The sequence below is a fragment of the Homo sapiens genome, chromosome 3 (assembly GCF_000001405.40).
Source record: "Homo sapiens chromosome 3, GRCh38.p14 Primary Assembly".
NCBI lineage: Eukaryota > Metazoa > Chordata > Mammalia > Primates > Hominidae > Homo > Homo sapiens.
In genome coordinates, this window is record NC_000003.12 from 197,014,413 (window position 1) to 197,035,674 (window position 21,262).

At 55.8% G+C, this 21,262-nt stretch overlaps 1 protein-coding gene across 5 annotated transcripts in view, besides 9 other annotated features; it reads right to left on the reverse strand.

Moving 5' to 3' along the window:
* The window catches only part of MELTF (melanotransferrin), a 28,078-nt gene extending 12,673 nt beyond the window's left edge, over nucleotides 1-15,405 (reverse strand). For 4 of the 5 annotated variants that reach the window (XM_047448150.1, XM_006713643.4, NM_005929.6 and 1 more), the window contains exons 1-9: nucleotides 15,242-15,405; nucleotides 13,344-13,498; nucleotides 12,248-12,347; nucleotides 9,891-10,073; nucleotides 8,545-8,701; nucleotides 6,992-7,059; nucleotides 2,691-2,878; nucleotides 1,777-1,957; nucleotides 953-1,104 (exon numbers count right to left, since the gene is read on the reverse strand). In XM_047448150.1, the coding sequence (XP_047304106.1) occupies nucleotides 953-1,104; nucleotides 1,777-1,957; nucleotides 2,691-2,878; nucleotides 6,992-7,059; nucleotides 8,545-8,701; nucleotides 9,891-10,073; nucleotides 12,248-12,347; nucleotides 13,344-13,498; nucleotides 15,242-15,290 (1,233 nt within the window). In that variant the 5' untranslated portion in view covers nucleotides 15,291-15,405. Of the gene's footprint in view, nucleotides 1-952; nucleotides 1,105-1,776; nucleotides 1,958-2,690; nucleotides 2,879-4,540; nucleotides 5,390-6,991; nucleotides 7,060-8,544; nucleotides 8,702-9,890; nucleotides 10,074-12,247; nucleotides 12,348-13,343; nucleotides 13,499-15,241 lie in introns of those variants that run through there. The other variant, NM_033316.4, reaches the window with a different exon arrangement.
* Nucleotides 8,322-8,371: an enhancer, noted in NCBI's record as "active region_21107". NCBI's record gives its function as "activates an Ori minimal core promoter by ATAC-STARR-seq in GM12878 lymphoblastoid cells {active_cell/tissue: GM12878}" and the evidence as "EXISTENCE:reporter gene assay evidence [ECO:0000049][PMID:35858748]".
* Nucleotides 14,668-14,847: a silencer, noted in NCBI's record as "silent region_15083". NCBI's record gives its function as "represses an Ori minimal core promoter by ATAC-STARR-seq in GM12878 lymphoblastoid cells {active_cell/tissue: GM12878}" and the evidence as "EXISTENCE:reporter gene assay evidence [ECO:0000049][PMID:35858748]".
* Nucleotides 15,038-15,087: a silencer, noted in NCBI's record as "silent region_15084". NCBI's record gives its function as "represses an Ori minimal core promoter by ATAC-STARR-seq in GM12878 lymphoblastoid cells {active_cell/tissue: GM12878}" and the evidence as "EXISTENCE:reporter gene assay evidence [ECO:0000049][PMID:35858748]".
* Nucleotides 15,138-15,627: a silencer, noted in NCBI's record as "silent region_15085". NCBI's record gives its function as "represses an Ori minimal core promoter by ATAC-STARR-seq in GM12878 lymphoblastoid cells {active_cell/tissue: GM12878}" and the evidence as "EXISTENCE:reporter gene assay evidence [ECO:0000049][PMID:35858748]".
* Nucleotides 15,138-15,797: a biological region, named in NCBI's record as "H3K27ac-H3K4me1 hESC enhancer GRCh37_chr3:196756444-196757080".
* Nucleotides 15,161-15,797: an enhancer, noted in NCBI's record as "H3K27ac-H3K4me1 hESC enhancer chr3:196756444-196757080 (GRCh37/hg19 assembly coordinates)". NCBI's record gives its function as "activates a minimal SCP1, AML or CMV promoter by ChIP-STARR-seq in primed H9 embryonic stem cells {active_cell/tissue: H9 hESC(primed)}" and the evidence as "EXISTENCE:reporter gene assay evidence [ECO:0000049][PMID:30033119]".
* Nucleotides 15,798-16,434: an enhancer, noted in NCBI's record as "H3K27ac-H3K4me1 hESC enhancer chr3:196757081-196757717 (GRCh37/hg19 assembly coordinates)". NCBI's record gives its function as "activates a minimal SCP1, AML or CMV promoter by ChIP-STARR-seq in primed H9 embryonic stem cells {active_cell/tissue: H9 hESC(primed)}" and the evidence as "EXISTENCE:reporter gene assay evidence [ECO:0000049][PMID:30033119]".
* Nucleotides 16,822-18,021: an enhancer, noted in NCBI's record as "BRD4-independent group 4 enhancer chr3:196758105-196759304 (GRCh37/hg19 assembly coordinates)". NCBI's record gives its function as "activates an origin of replication core promoter dependent on BRD2, P300/CBP, MED14 and CDK7 cofactors, and independent of BRD4, by STARR-seq in HCT116 cells {active_cell/tissue: HCT116}" and the evidence as "EXISTENCE:reporter gene assay evidence [ECO:0000049][PMID:35650434]".
* Nucleotides 17,126-17,420: an enhancer, noted in NCBI's record as "tiled region #10918; K562 Activating DNase unmatched - State 5:Enh". NCBI's record gives its function as "activates a minimal TATA promoter and a strong SV40 promoter by Sharpr-MPRA in K562 cells {active_cell/tissue: K562}" and the evidence as "EXISTENCE:reporter gene assay evidence [ECO:0000049][PMID:27701403]".

Below are 21,262 nucleotides of genomic sequence, written 5' to 3' on the forward strand. Positions count from 1 at the left end.
GTCTCTCTCTTGTCGCCCAGGCTGGAGTGCAATGGTGTGATCTCGGCTCCCTGCAACCTCCACCTCCCGGGTCCAAGCGATTCTCCTGCCTCAGCCTCCCAAGTAGTTGGGATTACAACTGTGTGCCACCATGCTCGGCTAATTTTTTTGTACTTTTAGTAGAAACAGAGTTTCACCATGTTGGCCAGGCTGGTCTTGAACTCCTAACCTCAAGTGATCCACCCACCTTGGCCTCCCAAAGTGCTGGGATTATAGGTGTGAGCCAATGCACCCAGCCAGGAGAGATAGGAGGAATAAGCTCCAGTGTTCTATAGACTGTAGGATGACTAGAGTTAACAATAATACATAGTTTCAAACAGGTAGGACGATATTGCATGTTCTCCACACGGAGAAATGAGCAATGTTTGAGATGATGGTATGTTAATTATTATCCTGCTCTGATCACCATGTATTCTATGTATCAAAACATCAGTATGTATCTCATGAATATGCACAATTATTATTTGTCTATTTAGAAAAATCAGGAAAAAAGAAAAAAAAAGTCGAACAATGATCCACGCCCACTCTCTATTGCACAAGGGAAGGCTGAGATTCAGAAAGGGGAAGGGGCTTGCCCCAGGCTACAGGGCGTCAGTGCCCAGCTGGGCCAGCGCTTCTTCTGCTCCTGGCACCCCCACTTAGTGAGGAGCTCCCAGGCTCTCCAGGGGACTCACCCCTATCTGCCTGTCCCCTGGGGTGGGTGCTGGCCCCTGCGGTCGCTCCTCCCCGCCTGTCTCTGTCCCCTGGGGTGGGTGCTGGCCCCTGCGGTCGCTCCTCCCCACCCGTCTCTGTGGGCTTGTTGCAGTAGACACTCTCCTCTTCCCCAGGCAGCAGGGGGTGTGGGTAGTAAGAACTGCCCAGGCACTGCCACCACCCGCCCACCTGGCCCACGCTGCACCTGCGTGACTCCCACCTGGATCCGCTCCATGCAGTGTTGGGGGGACTTGGCTGACACGCACTGGATCTCTGGCTTGAGCCGCTGCCGGCGGAAGGCCACGGCCATGTCTCCACACTTCTGGATCTCGGGAGTGGAGAGCACACACCAGCGCAGGTAGGGGGGCAGCCCTGGGGTGGGGCAAGCAAGCGGTCACTGCCAGGCCAGTACTGCCATGGAAGAGCATGGAGTCGGACCCAAGGGAAATTCTGGGCCTTTCTCCTGTCAGGTGTGTGGCTGGGATAAGTTATTTAACCATCGGATCCCACTTCCTCACACAGAAAAGGGGCAACTGTGAGGCCTGAGGAAGACCATGGCTGGCGTGCATGTAACTCAGTGTGTGGTACCCACTTCCCTGGCTGGAGGTGGAAGATACATGGGGCCAGGGGGCTAAAGGCAAGAAGCTCACTTGTAGACTACTGCAATAGTCCAGGCGAAAGATGGCACCTGCGCCAGGGCTGTAGCCATGGGGTAGAGGCGGGGAGTAGGAGCGAGAGGCTGTAGAAGAGCTGACAGGATGCCATGGCCGTGGATGGGGGGGCGAGGAGACCCTTCCCAAGACAGATTCTGATGGTCTGCATCCTCCCCCGCTGCGGCCAGGTGGGGCTTCCGAGGTACAACAGGCCATACAGTGGAAGAGATGCCTCCTCCCCAAAGCCCCAGGGGCAGAGGAATGGAAATGACAGGTTCCCGCAGAGGCCTCCCTGGTGAGCGTCTTCCCCCGGCCACTTTCCCAGAGAGCCTCGCCATGCCCGAGGTTGAGCTGGGCTGGAGCTGGCAGCAGTGGGGACAGGTGGACTTACGGTTGGGGTCACAGAGCAGACCCTTCATGGCGTGCAGGTACTCATGGCCCAGCCACGCCTCATAGGTCTGTGTGGCGATGGGCACAAGCTCCGAGGTAGAGTCTTTGAAGAGTAGATCCTTCTGGCCATAGGCCTCAGAGCTGAACATCTGGAAGCTGCTGCCCTCGTGGCTGAACAGACGCTGTGTGTCAAGGGGTGTGGTACAGGGTGGTGAGGGTGCTGACAGGCCATATCCTTCCCTCCCACTTTGGCCCCTACCTCCTTCTTCCCCGACCTCAGACCAGGCACCCACCCTGAGGGCCAGGTGAGGCCTCCCTCTTCTGCGGCGCCTCCCCTGATCTGCGGCCTCCTTCCCCTGGGCCCTGTCAGTTCTGGGTCTACTCTGAGTTCATTTGGCCTCCTCACACTCAGCTGTTTGGACACATGGCTGTGGCCAGGCATGGGACGGTCCTGAGGACACGCCGTGGGGCTGGTGGTAGCAGCCTGGATAGGGCAAAACTAACTGAGCCTGGGGCACCAGCAGTCAGAAGTCTATTGCTGTCACAAGCGGCGGTTTTAGCCAAACCTTATTCGCCACATGTAATTAATGGTGTGCTTTGAAAGGCGCTGGTTTTGTTACTTGGTTTATTTGCTCATATGTTTTGGTTTTAGCTCTCAGAGACACAAGTCTCAGGAGCTTCTTCTGAGGGTGCCTGAATCCCTGGGTCCCCCTCCTCTGGGCCCCCCTCTCCTGGCCAGCCCTCCTTCTGGCCAGCCAGCATAGTCGGTTCCTCACTCTGACCTGGCCCGATGCTGGGGTCCGTCCCAAGGACAGTCTCTGGGTCCTGCCCCTCCTGGTCCCACCCTGCTGAGCGACCACAAGGCCCGGCACCATCTAGGAAGCTGTGCAGGTGGTTGGGGGACCCTGAGCCCACCTGGCCTTCGTTGAGCAGCCGGAAGATGAGGCCCCCATCTGTGTCGGCCCGGACCACCACGGCGTGAGCAGGCACCCGGGCCAGATGGCACTGCCTCCACTCGGTGACATCGGCCCGGCTACCATCCCGGCACAGCAGCTCGAAGTCCTGTGACAGCAGGGCCTGGCCCCAGGAGGGAAGCGTCTTCCCTGGGAAGCAGGAAGCCTGGGCTGAGCCAGCTCCGAAAGGGGTTGGGGCGGGTGGCGGGGAAGGCCCAGGAGAGGGAATCTGAGGGGTGGCTGGGTGTCATGGACATGAGAACCCAGCATTCAGAAGGTGGCAGAGCTTGGTGGCCGCACCCAACTCCAGGTACCTACACAGACTCTATCTCGTTACTCTCATTTTCTAGCTCTCACCAATTTCTATTGCTAAAGTGAATTGGAGGTATCTGACAGTAATACAATACTTATAAATAACTATTCAAGATAAAAAAAGTAAGAAAATAAGAAAGGCTGGCCGGGCGTGGTGGCTCACGCCTGTAATCCCAGCACTTTGGGAGGCCGAGGTGGGCGGATCACGAGGTCAGGAGATCAAGACCATCCTGGCTAACACGGTGAAACCCCATCTCTACTAAAAATACAAAAAATTAGCTGGGCGTGGTGGCGGGCGCCTGTAATCCCAGCTACTGGGGAGGCTGAGGCAGGAGAATGGTGTGAACCTGGGAGGCGGAGCTTGCAGTGAGCCGAGATCACGCCACTGCACTCCAGCCTGGGCGACAGAGCGAAACTCTGTCTCAAAAAAAAAGAAAGGCTTTGGGTGAGACAGATGAATGTACCAAGAGTCTAGGATGAGCTTGCGGCTGCCATGAGGCACTGCGTTTGGCTCTGAGCAGGGGGCAGGGGGCAGGGCTCCCGGAGCAGGGGCCACGGTGGAAACAAACCCCGAAGGAATCTACCCACCCCAGGACTAGAGAGGACGGGGGATCTCCCATAACTCCAACTATTCATATTGCGATGGATTTCTTTCAAGTCCTTTTTTCTATTTTATTTCCTGTCTTTTGACCTCACCCCCCCTTTTTCTTTTTGAGACGGAGTCTGGCCCTTTCGCCCAGGCTGGAGTGCAGTGGCACGATCTCGGCTCACTGCAACCTCCACCTTCCGGGTTCACGCCATTCTCCTGCCTCAGCCTCCCGAGTAGCTGGGACCACAGGTGCCCGCCACCACGCCCGGCTAATTTTTTGTATTTTTTTTTATTAGAGATGGGGTTTTACTGTGTTAGCCAGGATGGTCTTGATCTCCTGACCTCGTGATCCACCCACCTCGGCCTCCCAAAGTGCTGGGATTACAGGCGTGAGCCTCCACACCTGGCCTTTTTTCTCTTTTTGAGATGGAGTCTTACTCTGTCGCTCAGGCTGGAGTGCAGTGGCATGATCTTGGCTCACTGCAACCTCCGCCTCCCAGGTTCAAGTTATTCTTCTGCCTCAGCCTCCCGAGTAGCTCAGATTACAGGTGTGCACCAAGATGCCTGGCTAATTTTTGTATTTTTCCTAGAGATGGGGTTTCACCATGTTGGCCAGGCCGGTCTTGAACCCCTGACCTCATGATCTGCCAGCCTCGGCCTCCCAAAGTGCTGGGATTACAGGCGTGAGGCACCGTGCCCAGCCTCCTTTTGACCGCTTTTAACCTGGTTAAGGACATAGTTGACAGGCAATTTTGCATCCTATTTGGTAGAGTATTTTTCCACAGTATTGGAAACTTTCCATAAGTTCATTTGTTTCTCGATAGAAAAGAAAATTTGCAAGAGTAACTATTAACACCAAACAGGGATATTGAGAAGACGAATATTAAGGACTATAATTAAACCACAGATGGTCCCACATAACAATATTTTTATGACCTTAAGACAAGGAGGAAAAAAACCTCTACAAGGAAATAGGAAGAAAAAAGATAATTTGTATGGTCATGAAAGCTTTCACTGCAAAGCTATTTTAAAACAAAACCAAACACCCGCACCAGAGTGATCGTTTAGGAAAACTCCCTAAAGGTCATTGTTAATGGCCACATGGTAGTTTACAGCACTGTTAATGATTCAGTGTAGTCCTACCCCCGCTTCCCAACTTTCCTGTTTTTCGGCGGCTGCAAAACCTTTGGTTAGAGCTCTGGGGCATCATTTGCCTTCCCACAGACAAAGGCATCATTTAGGTGCTTCCATCAGCCACTCCCGCTTCTCCTCAGCCAAGAACAATGAAAGTCCTGTCACTTCCCTGCTTTAGACATTTATGCCACTTCTACCCCTTGGCTCTTACCAATCTTTCTGTATAAAGTCACTTAAAAAATGACTCCCTTAGATTGCCTCAGATTACCATCAACACTTTGAAAAAGCTGCCAGGTGCACGCCTGTCATCCCAGCTACTCAGGAGGCTGAGATGCGAGGATCAGTTGAGGCTGGGGGTTTGAGACCAGCCTGGGCAACATGGTGAGACCCCCATCTCAAAAAAAACCCCAAGTTTGAAAGAGCTGATTCTTAACCCAACATATCCCTACTCTTTGCCCGTTTTCCAAATTCTCCTTTGTCAGACTCGTCCTGGGGCCTGTGAACGGGAGCCCATTTCCAGGCTTGCCCAGCACTAGAGCGCATCGTCCTACGTGCTTCCTCGTGTGCAGGGCACTCGCCTTCTTCCTCCTCAGATCTGGTCCATGTTTGCCTTCGTGATGGACTTTCTGATTTAAAAGGCAATGGTTAATAACAGCAAAGAATGACAATGATTTAAAAAAAAAACCCAATCATCAGACGTCCTGGGAGACGCAAAACTGCAGACAGAACGGTGTGTTTGCTGCTTGCTGGCAGGTGCGGGGAGATAACTAGCAGGGGCCTGAGGAACTCCTGGGCTGAAGGGTCTGCCCCATCAAGATCTCGATTGTGGTGGTGGTTATACAACTGCATGTATTTGGCAAAACTCATAGAACTATCCTTCAAAAAGAACAAATTTTGCTGCATGTAAATTATATCTCAATTTAAAAAAAGAAACAATCTTCAGGCAAATCTAAATTGAGGGACATTCTATAAAATAACCGGCCTGATGCTTCAAAATGCCAATGTCATAAAAACAAAGACTGAGAAACTGTTCCAAGATAAAGGAAAGTAAAGAGATCTAACAACTAAACCCCATGCGTGGTAAGAGTTTAGGTCCTGGTCTGCAAGAAATGGGCATGAAGGACAGAATTGGGACGGTGAGTGAATCTGCAATATCGGCTATAGACTGGATAACAGGATTGTATCAAAGTTGCGTGTCCTGATTTGGATTACTGTGGCTAGGTACACACCTCCTTGTCTTAGGAGATACATACCAAAGTATTCAAGGGGTATGACATAGGCAAATGTACTCTCAAATGGGTCAGAACACACACGCACACACACACACACACACAATAAAATGTGGGAAAATGCTAAACAGTTAGAATTTGGGTGAAGAATAGAAGGGAGCTCTTTGAGTTATTCTTGTAAGTTTTCCAAAGCTCAGTTCTTTCAAAATTAAAAAACTTAAATGACATGATGGCTCAATATATAACACCAGTCTTTGTGGGTTTTTTTTTTGTTGTTGTTTTTTAGACAGAGTCTCGCTCTGTCACCAGGCTGGAGTGCAGTGGTGTGATCTCGGCTCACTGCAATCTCTGCCTCCTGGGTTCAAGCAATTCCCCTGCCTCAGCCTCCCAAGTAGCTGGGATTTGAGGCACCCACCACCACGCTCGGCTAGTTTTTTGTATTTTAGCAGAGATAGGATTTCACCATGTTGGCCAGGATGGTCTCTTCTCCTGACCTCGTGATCCGCCCACCTCGGCCTCCCAAAGTGCTGGGATTACAGGCATGAGCCACCGTGCCCAGCCTCAACACCAAACTATATCTTAAACCTTCCCAGGGATGAGGGACAAATTCTCCAGGCAAGAGGAGAAAAATGCCAGGAAGGGCTGGTAGGTGAGATCCAGTGCAGGGGTTTGCAAATTGCTTAAAAAATCAGACCCTCATCTTCAGGTGGAACCAGAACCCAATGCCATATTCAAATCAAAGCAGAGCAGAGCTGCTCGCTGGCCCCCTTCTCCTGCCCTGTGGGCAGTGGGCACTCCACTGGTGACACCTGCCTCTGCTCTTTTGCAGCTGGGAGTGCTGAGGCTCGGAGACTGTGGGACTTGTCCAAGGTCACCCAGAGACTCAGAGCAGCACTGCACTAGGGCGTTTGATCCCAACTCTGCCATCTAGGGTCCCTGCCCCAAGCCGGCCTGGCCTGACTCCCTGCTCCTCTGGGCCCGTGCCCCTCCCCCACTCACCATCCGTGTTCTCCAGTACCGTGCTGTGCTTCACAAAAGCCACGTCCCCTGCCCCTTCCGCCAGGCACCTGCGGAGGAGAAGCTGTGGGTCTGGATGGGCTGAGCCCCTGCCCCTGCCCATCTTCCACCTCTGGAGGCCTGGCTTGGGCTGTAGGGGTGGCCATGATGGGCATGGGCTTTCCAGTTGTGTGGTCTGGGTTCCAGCTCCCTGGCTGGTCGGCTGTGTGCCTTTGCCGAGTTGTGGCCCCTTCCTAGCCCCTATCATCTGTAAAGCGGGGGTGGGAAAGTAGCTCCCACAGGGCTGCTCTGAGGATGAGAGGCTCCTTATAATCCAGTATGGACCCTCTCCATCTTAGCTCAGGCCTGTAGGGAGCAGGCACTCCCAGGGCAGCTGCTATTATAATATCAGCAGCCTTGACTCTCAGGGCGTCGGTTTTCTGTGTGTTTGTTTTCGTTGTTTTGTTTTTAGAGATAGGGTCTCACTGTGTCGCCCAGGCTGGAGTGCAGTGGCGCAATCATAGCTCATGGCAGCTTTGACCTCTTGGGCTCAAGTGATCATCCTGCCTCTGCCTCCAAAGTAGCTGGGGTGACAGGTGTGTGCCACCATGCTGGGCTAATTTTCAGGGTGTTTTGAAGAGCATTCTACCCTGAGGCAGGGGATTGGACTAGAAGGCCTTTTCATGCCATGCCGCAGAATCCTCAGTGGAAGGGACCATTGACTTTTACACGATCTGCTGATGTCACTGCCCAGTGTTGGAGGCAGGTCAGACCTCCTGGGCAAAGGGTCTGCTTGGGTCCCCACGGGCAGAAAATGCACAGGGATTAGAGCAGATCGGGGCGGGCGACATCAGGAGAGGGCTCTGAGGCTCCAAGAGAGCCAGAGAGAATGTGTGCATGGCCAAGGACACGGGGAGTGGAGGGGCAAGGCTGTCCCGCTCAGGGGTGCTGAGGACTGTTTCTTCTCTCTAAGCCGAAAACCGCATCCAGTCAGATAACATCTGGAGTGTGGGGCACCAGCAGGCTTCCCTGCTCCAGGTGGAAACGTGAGGTAGCTAGAGGGGCCCGAGAAGCTTCCTTTCCAATCCTGCTGAGCACATTTCCTCCTCTGCAGGCAGATGGAATTGGACCACGAGCTGTTAGAGTCTCCTGCATCCACGGAAGGGTTACCCAAGGTGCCAGCCGCAACCAGCAGCAGAGACGGGCCGGCCCCAGGTGTCCAGACACACTCCCCTGACCCCGCTCCCTGCTGGTCTGAGAATGGGGACATGGGAGTGGCCAAAAGGCTGTTTTTTCCATTTTCTTCTCTTGGAGCCCTCACCTCACTAAATATACCAAACACGTTGATTTCATGAGCAAATCCGGTTTGGCATATTCCAGCTGGATGTTTTTAAACTAACCAGGGCACAGAACTATATAAAGGGTGCTTTGATGAGACGCAGCCAACATGCCACTTCCCCCTCCACGGCCCTCTCTGGGCAAAGGTGTTTTTCCCCAGCATTTGTGGCCTCAGCTCCTCCCTGCCCTCGGCCCCTCCCTGCCCCCACTCCGCTCACCGGAAGGCCCCGCTGTAGTCGTAGTATCTCTCCAGGGGGCTCTTGTCACACACCCCTTCCCCAGAGCTGTCACCCCTGCAGAGGCGACAGAGGGACTCAGAGTAACTGGTCTCTCCTGCCCCCGGGACGCAGCTGCCCCCAAAATAGTCGCTGACAGCTGTGGGAAGGAGGTAGAGAGGTCACTCAGCAGAACTTTCTTCAGAGCCAAGCCAAGCCCCCAGGGTCAGCAGGGGGCCCGGGCTCTCATCTGGACTCTGCTGAGAATGGTTCCACCTTCCAGCTTCAGTCTGAGCAAAGCTGGGGAGTGGACCCGATCAGTGACCCCCAAACCGGGTCCACCAAGGCAGCAGACAGCACTGGGAGCGACTGTCATTTAAAAATGGTTCGGGGGAACTAAACATTTCCTCCTAAATGACCACGTGGGATAACTCAGTATCAGCCAGATGCTCTTCTCACTGTGGGTTTCATTTCCAGCTCAGCCAACTGTGACTGATGACAGAGGGGAAATAAAGAATTATTGAAGATCACTGATGGGTAGACAACCCTTCTCACGGCACAGGGAGGGAGGCACACGCCCGGCGGCCAGCCTCACGGGGGACGAGGTCAGGGTCTGCCGCCCTGCATGGTTCTTCCGGCCCTGCCAGCACCAAAACCCACAAGTATTTATCCTGTGCCGCGCGAGGAGGCCCTGCTGCTGGCACCTGAGCCAGTCGGGCCACGCTCATCGCCAGCCAGACTGAGCTTTTCCAGAGTAAGCCCTCTTCCTGGTTTTTTTTTTGTGACCTCCCAGAGGAGTAGATATTTAATAAATATGCCAAGTGCCTGGTGAGCCACTCACACCTGGCCACCAGCTGAGAGGGTGAGGCTTCCAGGCTCTCGCGGGTTTACACGGCTGGTTGGGCTGATGAGCCACTTGGGAGCTTTCTGGGTGCAAGTCGGCACCTCGTTTGGGTCCTGAAAAAATAGCATTTCTGGTCCTGTAAAGCCGAGGACACATTTCTAGACACAGTGACCTGCGCCCGGTCTATACTGGTGGGAAGCACTCCTGGGAGATTCACTGCTTCCCACTCATGGGCTGGGCCTGTGCCTGGCTGTGCCATGTGGGACACCACGATGCGTGAGCAAGAATCGCGCCCCACAGGGTCCAAGCAAGCAGGAAGTCAAGCGGCGGCGCCGGCGGCAGAGTGGAGGCGGGGGAGGCACGGGGCGGGCGGGGGCTGCTGCGCCTTCCAGGAATGAAGAATGGTGGCGAGGCCGGAGGGAGGCTACCCAGTGAAGGGACGAGCATGGGCCAAGGAAAGGAGGGGGAGGCCTGGGGACCCTCCTGCCCAGCCCAAAGCCCTCACCTTTGAGTACATCGCAGCCCATCACCGAGAGGCGGCCGCTCTCCACCAGGTAGCCCACGGGCACGTTCCAGCCCACTGTGCGATTGATGCCCGTGTGGCAGGACTTCACGCCTTTCAGGGTGTCAATGGTCACATGGGAGCTCCTCCTGACCACAGCCACGGCGTAATAGGAGGTACCGACCTCTAGGAGGGGAGGGGAGTGGGTGAGGGCAGCAGGGAGAGGCCTCGAGAGAGGCTGCACCAGCACCCTGCCTGGGCGGGCTGTGGGAGAGGTGTGTGCACGGAGCACGGCTGTACACACGGATGTGTGCATAGCGTTCTCGTTACCAAGAGAGCAAGTGGGCTTCATCTGCATGTATTAAGAGGCCCTGCCCTCTAGCCTCTTGAGGTAGAGACGATCCTGAGATATTGATGTATTCATTGATTTCCCCCTCTTCCTTCCCCAGCAGCTGGTGCTTAGCTGGGTCCACATTTGCTCACATCAGGGGAGTTATTTAGCTGGACAGAAAGCAGAAGCCAGCAAGTCCTTGCTTTCCAAGAGCCTAGGCCCCTAGGAGAACTTGGAGGGTTTGGGGGAATGGTGTCAGGGTCATGGGAAGAAGGGTGTCTGGGAGGAGCAGGGGAGCCGAGGAGGGGCTTCCCCAGATGAGGAGCGGCGATTTCCTGGTGCTGAGGGGGTTGAAGGAGAGTGAGACAGAGGCAGAGACAGAGAGAACTAGCGATGTGGCCCCAAGTCGCTCACGACCCTGAATGCTGCAGGGTGTGTGTGGTGGGGCCAGGGCTCTGCAGCCTTGCAAAGCGTTCCCCTGTGCCAAGGTGGCTCCAAGGGGCTGCTCAGGCAAAACACAGACTCAGCTGTGGGAACTGATGCCCAGAGGGTCTCCCATCGCACGGGCGCACACACGCAGGCATGCACGCGTGCACAAACTGCCCGGTGGTGTGGGAGGCCATATCAGAATGAAGTTGAGTTCTAGAACATAAAGCCAGTGTTACTTCTTGCACACCAGGGTCTGGCCCCCGCCAACCTGAGTAGCTCCGTCTGGTACCATCCTCTGACTCACCCGCCTTGTTTCTTACCAATCCTCTGGACCGCCTGAGATGGTTGCGGGGCTCAGCTTACCCATCACCTCTGCAGAGCACCGTCCTGCCTGCTCTATTTCAGTGGATTTCCCCGCAACCCTCGTTTTCTCTGTCCTGCCCTTCCCTTTTCCTCACAGCACCCCAACATGTGTCACTGTATTGTTTTGGGTGTGTTTATTTACTCTCTGCTCTGTGGGGGCAGGAAGGTCTCTTCGTTTACTGCTGCATGCTTATGACCAGCGGGTAGCAGGTGCTCAGTAGAGGTGTCGAGTTAATTAAAGAGGAAGAGGTGCGTGGGGCCTCGGAGGCAGAGCTGTTTCTGGCTGATGGGTGTGCAGGGTTGGACTGTGCCGTGTGTCATTTGATGGCCATTAATTCAACAAGGAACCAGCCAGTGCTTTCTCCAAGCGAGATGCTGTGTGGAGTTCCAGAGGGTAGACACAGGGGAAGACTGGACCCTCCTCTGAGGACTAACGAGACTGAGCAGGCAGAGGCTTGCAGAGGCCATGTGGGTGCGGGCAAGAGAGGCCCTGCTCCAGAGAGGGAGGGGCTCAGGGAGCACCTTGGAGGAGGTGACAGTTGCGCTGGACTGTGATGGAGGCCAGGCACCGGCCAAGCAGAGGTGGCGGGGGAGACACAGGAGCTGGCTGAGCTGGAGGCAGGTCCCATGTGTGATGCGGGGACTGGGCAAAGGAACTCACACTTTCCAGCACATACCACATGTCAGGTGGGCACACGGCCTGGCTCATTTAGTCTGGGTGACAGCGCAGGTGTTACTATCCCCATTATACAGTCTGGGAAGTGGAGGTTGGCCAAGGTCACAGAAGTCATGGGAAGGGGAAGGGCTGGGTCTGCTGAGCTGTGCCGCTGCCAGACAGCACCTCCCTACCCGGAGCCGGGCTTCTGAAGGGAGGCCCTGAGAGTGCAGGTGGCTCGGCATTAAGGACGCCTTGCTCACCCAAGGCAGTTACGCACACAGCACCGTGCCCGGCACCACGCCAGGCCCGGGACAGCCCGCAGTAAGAGCTGAGTGGGCACAGGCTAGGGGGCTGCTGGGCTCCCTGCGGGCAAGAGCAGACTTGGGGCAGCTCTCTGTGTCCCTGGAGCTCCTGTCCCTGGGGAATTTGAGAGAGCCTTAGGGCGTTCTTCTGGCTGGGACTCCAGGACTGCTCTGTGGACAGGGCTGATGGCCAGCTCAGGCCAGGCCCAGCAAGGGCAGCCTGGAGAGCTGACTTCCAGCGCAGGCTGTCCTCTCTCCTCCCACTGCACCCTCTTACCTTGATCGTACACTTCGCCCACCACCGGCTTCAGGCCGTGCTCCTTTCCCGCCTCATAGATGGCTCCTCCATCCAGAGTGATGGCGTCAGCCTCCTGGGCCTGCAAGGAAATGTGGCTCAGCCAAGCCTGGCCCAGCTGGCCTGCTCAGCAAAGAACTCGGGACACCTACCAGATGGCCTGGGGCCCCACCCCAAGCCCCAGAGGGCTGTGCTGTCCTTCTCATCTGTCCCAGGAGCCCAACCAGAGCCCAGGGCTCTCCCCCTTTCCCAGGCCAGGGATTCACCTTGTTTTCCTAATAATGTTAAAAAAAAAATACTAATCATTGATTTTGCAGGACTCAGATATCATAGTAAAAAAATCAGATAGCAGAAAACGGTGCGCAGTGACAAGTGAGTCTCCCTCGCTTTCTGTCCCTCCACCCTGCGCCTCTACTGCTACCCTAGGTTTTCTAGCTTTTTTTCTCTAAGGTGGTCTGTGCTTGGGGTTTCTGCCCTCACATGGAGCCTGACCCACAGCCTTGGCCCCAGTGTGGGCCTGTGATTGGATTAGGTCTTGGGGGCATATGGGGGGCAGAGCTGGAATGAAAAGCCAGCTTTCTTTGCACCCACCCAGGAGGGACGCCACTCTCTGGTGGTGCCTCGGAGGATTGTCAGTGTCATTTAGCAGTTCTCAGCAGACCTGCTCTCCTACCCCATGCTCACCCACCTGGGAGTCCAGCCCCTGCTCCTCCTTCCCCAGAAACCACACAAGCCCCATTCTGGAGAGCCCCATGGCAAGATGAGCAAGTAACCGCCTGCGGCCACTGAGGGGCCGCCACCATCTGGGCCCCCTTGGCAGGGGCCTTGTGGAAGGGAAGCCTCTCAGGTGCCTTTCTTTGCTGGCGCCCTCTGAGCAGCGGGTCCTCCTGAGGCTCCCACCTCCTGGCCTGGGCCCGGCGGGAGGCAAGCTGGCCTCGTGGCCAGGGAGACTCGGGAGATCCTATCGGCCGGGCCTGGCAGGGCGAGGTCGGCTCCTTTCCTGGTGAATGGGGCTGTTGTGTGCTCCCTCCTGAGTCACAGCCCTCTTGTCTGGCAGGGTGGAAGGGAGAGGACTCACCGCGATGAGCTGGACGCAGTGGTCGGCGGAGGTGCCCCGGACGCAGAGGAGGGAGGGCTGGATGCCCGCTTCCCGGAAGGCCTCGCTCATGTTGCCGCACTTGTGCTGCTCTGGGTCCGAGGTGGCGCACCACCGCACCTCCATGCCACCGAGCACTGCGGGCAGGGGACCGTGAGGCCCGGCTCCCCCGCCCTGCCCAGCCCCGGCCCACCATGGAGGGTGGCTCCAGCAGTTCTGTGTGAGCCCATTCGCCTGGACAGCCAGTCCTCTAGGGCAGCCCTGCCCTCCCACAGGGAGGCACTAGGCGCAGAGACAGGGGAAGGGCTGGTATTCCTGTGCTCAGGGCCTCTCTGACCAGGAGCACGGCTGCTGGCAAATGGAATGGCTCAGAACCCGGCCCTTTATGGAGGAATGGGAGGGTCTACAGGTCGCTTCTCAGCTACCCCCACCTGGTGGGAGCACTGGCTAGGGAGTCTCGGCAGGCCCTGGAAGTGGAAGCTTCTTCCCCTCTCCAGGCCTCCCGAAGAGGGTGCTCGTGTAGGTTCCCTCACCCAGCAGTGTCCCTGGGCCTTCCTCATGAACTGGGACGGGAGAGTGAGGTGAGGGGGCTGTGGGTGGGCTGCCCTCCAGGAGCCCTGTCCCCTCGGGGAGTGTCTGCGATGATGCTGGCTGCAAAGCCACCCTCGGTGGGCACAGTGCCAGGCCCTGCCAAGGGAAGACGGCAGGCACAGAGGGGAGGCTGAGGACCCATCAGGGTAGGTTCAAGCCTCTCTGAGCCTGCTTCATCTTCTGAGAGAGCAGATAAAAACCCCACCTTCTGTGTTGAAAGTAAACCCCCTTGTAGAGAGCCTGAGACACCCACATCCTCAGTGGACTTCTGCTTATGCCTCAGGATCTGACCGGGTCAGAGTCCCCGAGAGCTCCCAGGCTAGGGGCCCAGAGGAAGGGGTGCTGGAGCCCCTTGGGGCCGATGACTTTCAGGCCTGAGCTCCTCTGCCATTCACCCTGCCCCAGCCAGCACTGCCAGAGGCCTGTGCAGGAGGGAGGGAAACGCATGACTCCGCCCGAAACCAGGTCACCCTCCCGTGGCAGCCCCACCAGCCCAAGGGCCGAGACTGAAGCTTCCGCCACAGCCCTCCCCTCCCCACTCCTGGCGGAGGCCTGGGAAGTCGAACTGCCCTCCCCTCCGCAGCGCTCCAAGCCCCCCACCACCCAGGCGGGAAACTGCAAAGTTCAGACGGGGCGGGGGTGGCGGTGGCTTCATCGTTTGCATTGATGAGTGCGTCGCCTGCGGCCACAGCGGTGCCACGAACTCCATCCCCTCGGCGGTCGCCGCCCGCGATCCCCGCGAGCCGCTCCCCGAGGTCCCGCCTCCCGTCCCACCATCCCGGGCCCTGACTCCCCGGGGCGCCGACGCGAGGGGACCCGGCCTCCGTCTCCACCTCCATCCCTGCATGTGCCAGAAACCCCCGGGCGGACTCCCGCGCCTGCCGGTCAGTCCCTCTGAATCTTCTCCCGCGGGGGCTCGGGAGAAAGAGCTGCTCCGAGCCCCCAAAGTCTTCCTGAGTTCCTGCGCCCGTCGGGAGGGGCCGCCCTCCGGGAGCTCCTCTCCACACCCCGAGGCCTCCCCACCACGCCTCAGCCCGCGCTTCTCCTTGGAGCGTCGGAAGCCTCGGGTGTTCGAGGCCGCCTCCTCCAAGAAGCCTTCCAGACTTCCCCGTCTGCGCTTCAGTGCTAGTTCCCTCCGCCGTCCTCACTCGACCCCGAGCCCCTGCCTCCCCCGTCTCACTGCCCCGGAGCCGCAGGCTCAGGCACATTTCCAGCCCCGGGACCTGCTCAGCCGGGCCGCGGCGCCCCGGGACCCCCGCCCGCCTTTGGCTCTCACAGCGGGGCCTCACCGGTGCGCAGAGCCAGGAGCAGCCACAGAGCCCCGCTCGGACCCCGCATGGCGCCGTCGGGGCTGGCTGGGGCCGGGCTGGGGCTGGGTCCGGGTCCGAGGAGGTCCGCAGCAGCCGGGCTTCCTCCCTGCTCCCCCTCGCGCTGGCCCGAGCTCCTTAAGTGCGGCCGCGAGTTCCCGGGCGGAATCCACGCCCCTGGGGCGCAGGTCACCTCCCGCCGACCCCGGACCCCGCCCCTGGGCGGCCCCGGCGCGCCCCCTGCTGGAGGCCTCCCGCTCGGGCCCGGGCGCCGCTGCTCGGGGCTCTCGCCTCAGCCTCCTACCCCGCGTTCCAGGGTATCCTCCCCTCCTCGCGCCCTAGAAAGACTCCAGATACCGTGTCTAACTGGAGAGAGAAAAGCTCAGACGTGGAAGGAAGGAGAGGTCAGAATCCCAGAGTCGGGGCTGGAGGGCAGCTGGAGGATGATCTCATTCACGCAGCAGCTCCCTCCCAGCACAGCTGCACAGAGGATCTGGGATACGGGGGAGCCCAGGCCGAGCGCCCTGGCGAGGGGGGAGCCGGGCAGGGGCATCTCGGCCACAGCTGCACAGAGGATCTGGGATACGGGGGAGCCCAGGCCGAGCGCCCTGGCGAGGGGGGAGCCGGGCAGGGGCATCTCGGCCACAGCTGCACAGAGGATCTGGGATACGGGGGAGCCCAGGCCGAGCGCCCTGGCGAGGGGGGAGCCGGGCAGGGGCATCTCGGCCACAGCTGCACAGAGGATCTGGGATACGGGGGAGCCCAGGCCGAGCGCCCTGGCGAGGGGGGAGCCGGGCAGGGGCATCTCGGCCTAGCCGACTGCCTCTCCTCGGGCCTAGAGACGGGAGGTGACTTGCCCGAGTCAGGCATCCAGTCAGTGGCAGAGCCAGCTGATTGGAAGGTGAGAAGAGGACCAGAGAGGAATTGGAGGAAGCGGAAAAGGAGAAACAGGCGGAGAAGGGGAGGAAGAGAGTGAAGAAGGTGAGGGAGGAAAGGGTGGGTTGACCGTATTTCTAGGACAGTGGTTCTCAGTGTGGTCCCTAGGCCAGCAACGTGAGCATCACCCTGGAACTTGCTGGAAATGCAAGTGCTCAGGCCCCACCTCCGACCCACTGGATCGACAGCTCTGGGGGCGGGGCCCACAATCTGTTTTTATTTCGGGGCACAGCAAATGTTGAGAACCACTGTCGCAGGCGGGCAAAAGCGGCACTCCCCATGTGGTTGGGGATGCGGGGAATGAACTGAAGACATTGTTAGTCACCTGCCTCCATTTAGGCCTCACCTTTATGTCATCAGCCCCTCTGAGACTCAGAAATGATGTCTCTCTCTGACATGGGTAAGTACAACAGTGAGAGAGAAGACATCCCTCTGAGTTTGTCTGTCCTTGAGCTTGCTCTGCGCCCTGGGGAAGGAAGGCCTCCCTCCTATGGGGCCATGAAGCTACTGCTTATCACACACTGGATCAGGGGAAGGAACATGGGCTGGGCTTCAGGAGACTCGAGCTCTACTTTTTAAAAACCAGCGACTTACAGACCCTGGGCGAGTTCGTCGCCCTCTCTGGGCTTGTTCCCCACATGTAAAAGGTAGGTCATGATGGCCGTGACGTGCCATACTTTCCGTCTCCTGTCTGCTCTGGAGGACTTGTGCTGTGGAAGCTGTTTCTCCATCCCCCCAGATGGATCCCTTCTTCCTAGTTTGCACAAAGGTGCCGAATGGACTAGCAGGCAGCCTTGCTAGAGGGGCTGATGGCTTGTCCTAAGAAGATGGAATAAATAGAAGAGTCCTTAACAAGCCTCGTTCTCCTGACCACGAGGATAGAAAGGCTCAGTTGGCACACTCCAGGAGCCACCAGATGACTGGCAGGATCTGTTTGATGACTAAGTCCTTCCTTTGGCAAAACTCCACGTGACGCTGATAGGGAGTGAGAACAACCATAACCTAAGAGGTTTGCTGGGCTCTTTCACAATGAAGTTCTTCCCTTATCTCTTGGGTGTCATTCAGCTGTGACTCATCAGTGAACTTGCTGCCTCTGGGTTCTCAGGGATTCTACATCGGGCCCGTTGGCCCAGGGTTGGCATGAACGCGCATCACCTTTGTGGAATGGGGAAGTCTGCCTCAGCTTGAGCCAGGATTCTGCCATTTCTGGGGTCCGGACATACTTGGGTGTGCCAGAGAAATGGGTGGGATGTAATGAGAGAGTAATAAGCCAGTAGTTTAACCCACAAACAGCCTTCTGGAGGAGCAGAAGCTGAGGTTAGTTTGGTCCCCATTCTAGACTCATATTGAGATTAGAGGGAGAGCATACAGACTAAAGGAACTGGTTTCACTGACACTTCGATCAGATTCTGGGGCCTAAGCAGCTCTGCCTGAGTCTCCCTGACCCTACCCCATAATATGAAATAAAAAGAGCTCTTCTCCACTCTTGCCAAAGACACAGCTCTGGCTCTCCAAGGATTCAGAGTGCCCAGAAGCATTGAGCTTGCTTGTCAGGGAATCGAGGAACAGTACATCCCATGGAGGGAATACACTACAGGCAGCCTCAGAAAGTGGGGGCCTTTGACAGGAGACTGAGAAGGTCCATCAGCAGGTAGTGGCTAATGAGCCAGCAAAGGGTGAAATCCTTTACCCAAAACGAAGTAAAATATTGTACTTAGGAAAAAATATTTTTCAACAAATCATAATTTCTGTCTGTCTATTTCTATGGCCCGCAATGTCTTTAAGAACAAGCCAAATAGTTTTTATTCTGGGGAACCCTTGGAAGGCTGGTGTGCCCTGAGAAAGTTTGGGTGTGAGCACCTGCAGTAGTGTGATGTCAGAGGATGTTACGCTCTTGCTGACTGGTTGGGGTGTCAGCACCTGCAGTCGTGTGATGTCAGAAGATTTTACACTCTTGCTGACTGGTTGTGGTGTGAGCACCTGCAGTAGTGTGATGTCAGAGGATGTTACCCTCTTGCTGACTTGTTGGGGTGTGAGCACCTGAAGTAGTGTGATGTCAGAGGATGTTACACTCTTGCTGATGGGTTGGGGTGTGAGCACCTGCAGTCGTGTGATGTCAGAAGATTTTACACTCTTGCTGACTGGTTGGGGTGTCAGCACCTGCAGTAGTGTGATGTCAGAGGATGTTACACTCTTGCTGACTGGTTGGGACATGAGCACCTGCAGTAGTGTGATGTCAGAGGATGTTACACTCTTGCTGATGGGTTGGGTGTGAGCACCTGAAGTAGTGTGATGTCAGAAGATTTTACACTCTTGCTGACTGGTTGGGGTGTGAGCACCTGCAGTAGTGTGATGTCAGAGGATGTTACCTCTCTTGCTGACTGGTTGGGGTGTGAGCACCTGCAGTCGTGTGATGTCAGAAGATTTTACACTCTTGCTGACTGGTTGGGGTGTGAGCACCTGCAGTAGTGTGATGTCAGAGGATGTTACACTCTTGCTGACTGGTTACTGTGTGAGCACCTGCTGTAGTGTGATGTCAGAGGATGTTACACTCTTGCTGACGGGTTGGGGTGTCAGCATCTGCAGTAGTGTGATGTCAGAGGATGTTACCCTCTTGCTGACTTGTTGGGGTGTGAGCACCTGCAGTAGTGTGATGTCAGAGGATGTTACACTCTTGCTGATGGGTTGGGGTGTGAGCATCTGCAGTAGTGTGATGTCACAGGATGTTACGCTCTTGCTGACTGGTTGGGACGTTAGCACCTGCAGTAGTGTGATGTCACAGGATGTTACACTCTTGCTGACTGGTTGGGGTGTGAGCACCTGCAGTAGTGTGATGTCAGAGGATGTTACACTCTTGCTGACTGGTTTGGGTGTGAGCACCTGCAGTAGTGTGATGTCAGAGGATGTTACACTCTTGCTGACGGGTTGGCGTGTGAGCACCTGCAGTAGTGTGATGTCAGAGGATGTTACTCTCTTGCTGACTGGTTTGGGTGTGAGCACCTGCAGTAGTGTGATGTCAGAGGATGTTACACTCTTGCCAACTGGTTGGGGTGTGAGCATCTGCAGTAGTGTGATGTCAGAGGATGTTACACTCTTGCCAACTGGTTGGGGTGTGAGCATCTGCAGTAGTGTGATGTCAGAGGATGTTACTCTCTTGCTGACTGGTTACTGTGTGAGCACCTGCAGTAGTGTGATGTCAGAGGATGTTACACTCTTGCTGACTGGTTGGGTGTGAGCACCTGCAGTCGTGTGATGTCAGAAGATTTTACACTCTTGCTGACTGGTTGTGGTGTGAGCACCTGCAGTAGTGTGATGTCAGAGCATGTTACACTCTTGCTGACTGGTTGGGTGTGAGCACCTGCAGTCGTGTGATGTCAGAGGATGTTACACTCTTGCTGACTGGTTGGGGTGAGTACCTGCAGTAGTGTGATGTCAGAGGATGTTACACTCTTGCTGACTGGTTGGGACATGAGCACCTGCAGTAGTGTGATGTCAGAGGATGTTACGCTCTTGCTGGCTGGTTGGGGTGTGAGCACCTGCAGTGGTGTGATGTCAGAGGATGTTACTCTCCTGCTGACGGGATGGGATGTGAGCACCTGCAGTAGTGTGATGTCAGAGGATGTTACGCTCTTGCTGACTGGTTGGGGTGTGAGCACCTGCAGTAGTGTGATGTCAGAGGATGTTACTCTCTTGCTGACTGGTTGGGGTGTGAGCACCTGCAGTAGTGTGATGTCAGAGGATGTTACGCTCTTGCTGGCTGGTTGGGGTGTGAGCACCTGCAGTGGTGTGATGTCAGAGGATGTTACTCTCCTGCTGACGGGATGGGATGTGAGCACCTGCAGTAGTGTGATGTCAGAGGATGTTACGCTCTTGCTGACTGGTTGGGGTGTGAGCACCTGCAGTAGTGTGATGTCAGAGGATGTTACTCTCTTGCTGACTGGTTACTGTGTGAGCACCTGCTGTAGTGTGATGTCAGAGGATGTTACACTCTTGCTGACGGGTTGGGGTGTCAGCATCTGCAGTAGTGTGATGTCAGAGGATGTTACCCTCTTGCTGACTTGTTGGGGTGTGAGCACCTGCAGTAGTGTGATGTCAGAGGATGTTACACTCTTGCTGACTGGTTACTGTGTGAGCACCTGCAGTAGTGTGATGTCAGAGGATGTTACACTCTTGCTGACTGGTTACTTTGTGAGCACCTGCAGTAGTGTGATGTCAGAGGATGTTACGCTCTTGCTGACTGGTTACTGTGTGAGCACCTGCAGTAGTGTGATGTCAGAGGATGTTACACTCTTGCTGACGGGTTGTGGTGTGAGCACCTGCAGTAGTGTGATGTCAGAGGATGTTATGCTGTTGCTGACTGGTTACTGTGTGAGCACCTGCAGTAGTGTGATGTCAGAGGATGTTACGCTCTTGCCGACTGGTTGGGACGTTAGCACCTGCAGTAGTGTGATATCAAAGGGTGTTACACTTGCTGACTGCTTAATCTGAATTTGTATATTGAGAACAATGGCAGACATGTTGAGGAAGTTTTAGGAATAAAAGCTTTTTTTTTTTTTTTTTTTTTGCCTCTTTATAGGAAAGAATTTTTTTCTGTGAAGCATATGTAGGAGAAGTCCTGTCCATTTGGGCTGTGCCAAACTCTATGTCCAGGATTTTCAAAGGCAGAGTCTATGTTTGATCATTTCTGTGCTCATCACAGGGCCTTAAACACAGAGGATGATTTCTAAGTGTGAACTGTTATGTTTTAGGATGTTATTAACTATCATTACTGGTGTCTGATGCTGCTGAAGGGAAGAATGAGAAGAGCCACAGGATCTGGGGACTATGGTGGCCCCAAAGAGCTGTGTGAGCAGTTTCAATGGCATGGCCAGGGCTGAGGCTCAGGCAGGAAACTCAACTCCATGAGGGCAGGGATGGTGTCTTGTCTACCACCGATCCCAGTGTCTAGCATCAGGTCCGGAATATAATAGGATTCAATACATAATTATACTATTATAAATGAAGGGAAGAGTGAACAGAGTATCTCAAGATACTTGGCTAAGAAGGGAGAGGGGCTGTTTTCAGGGG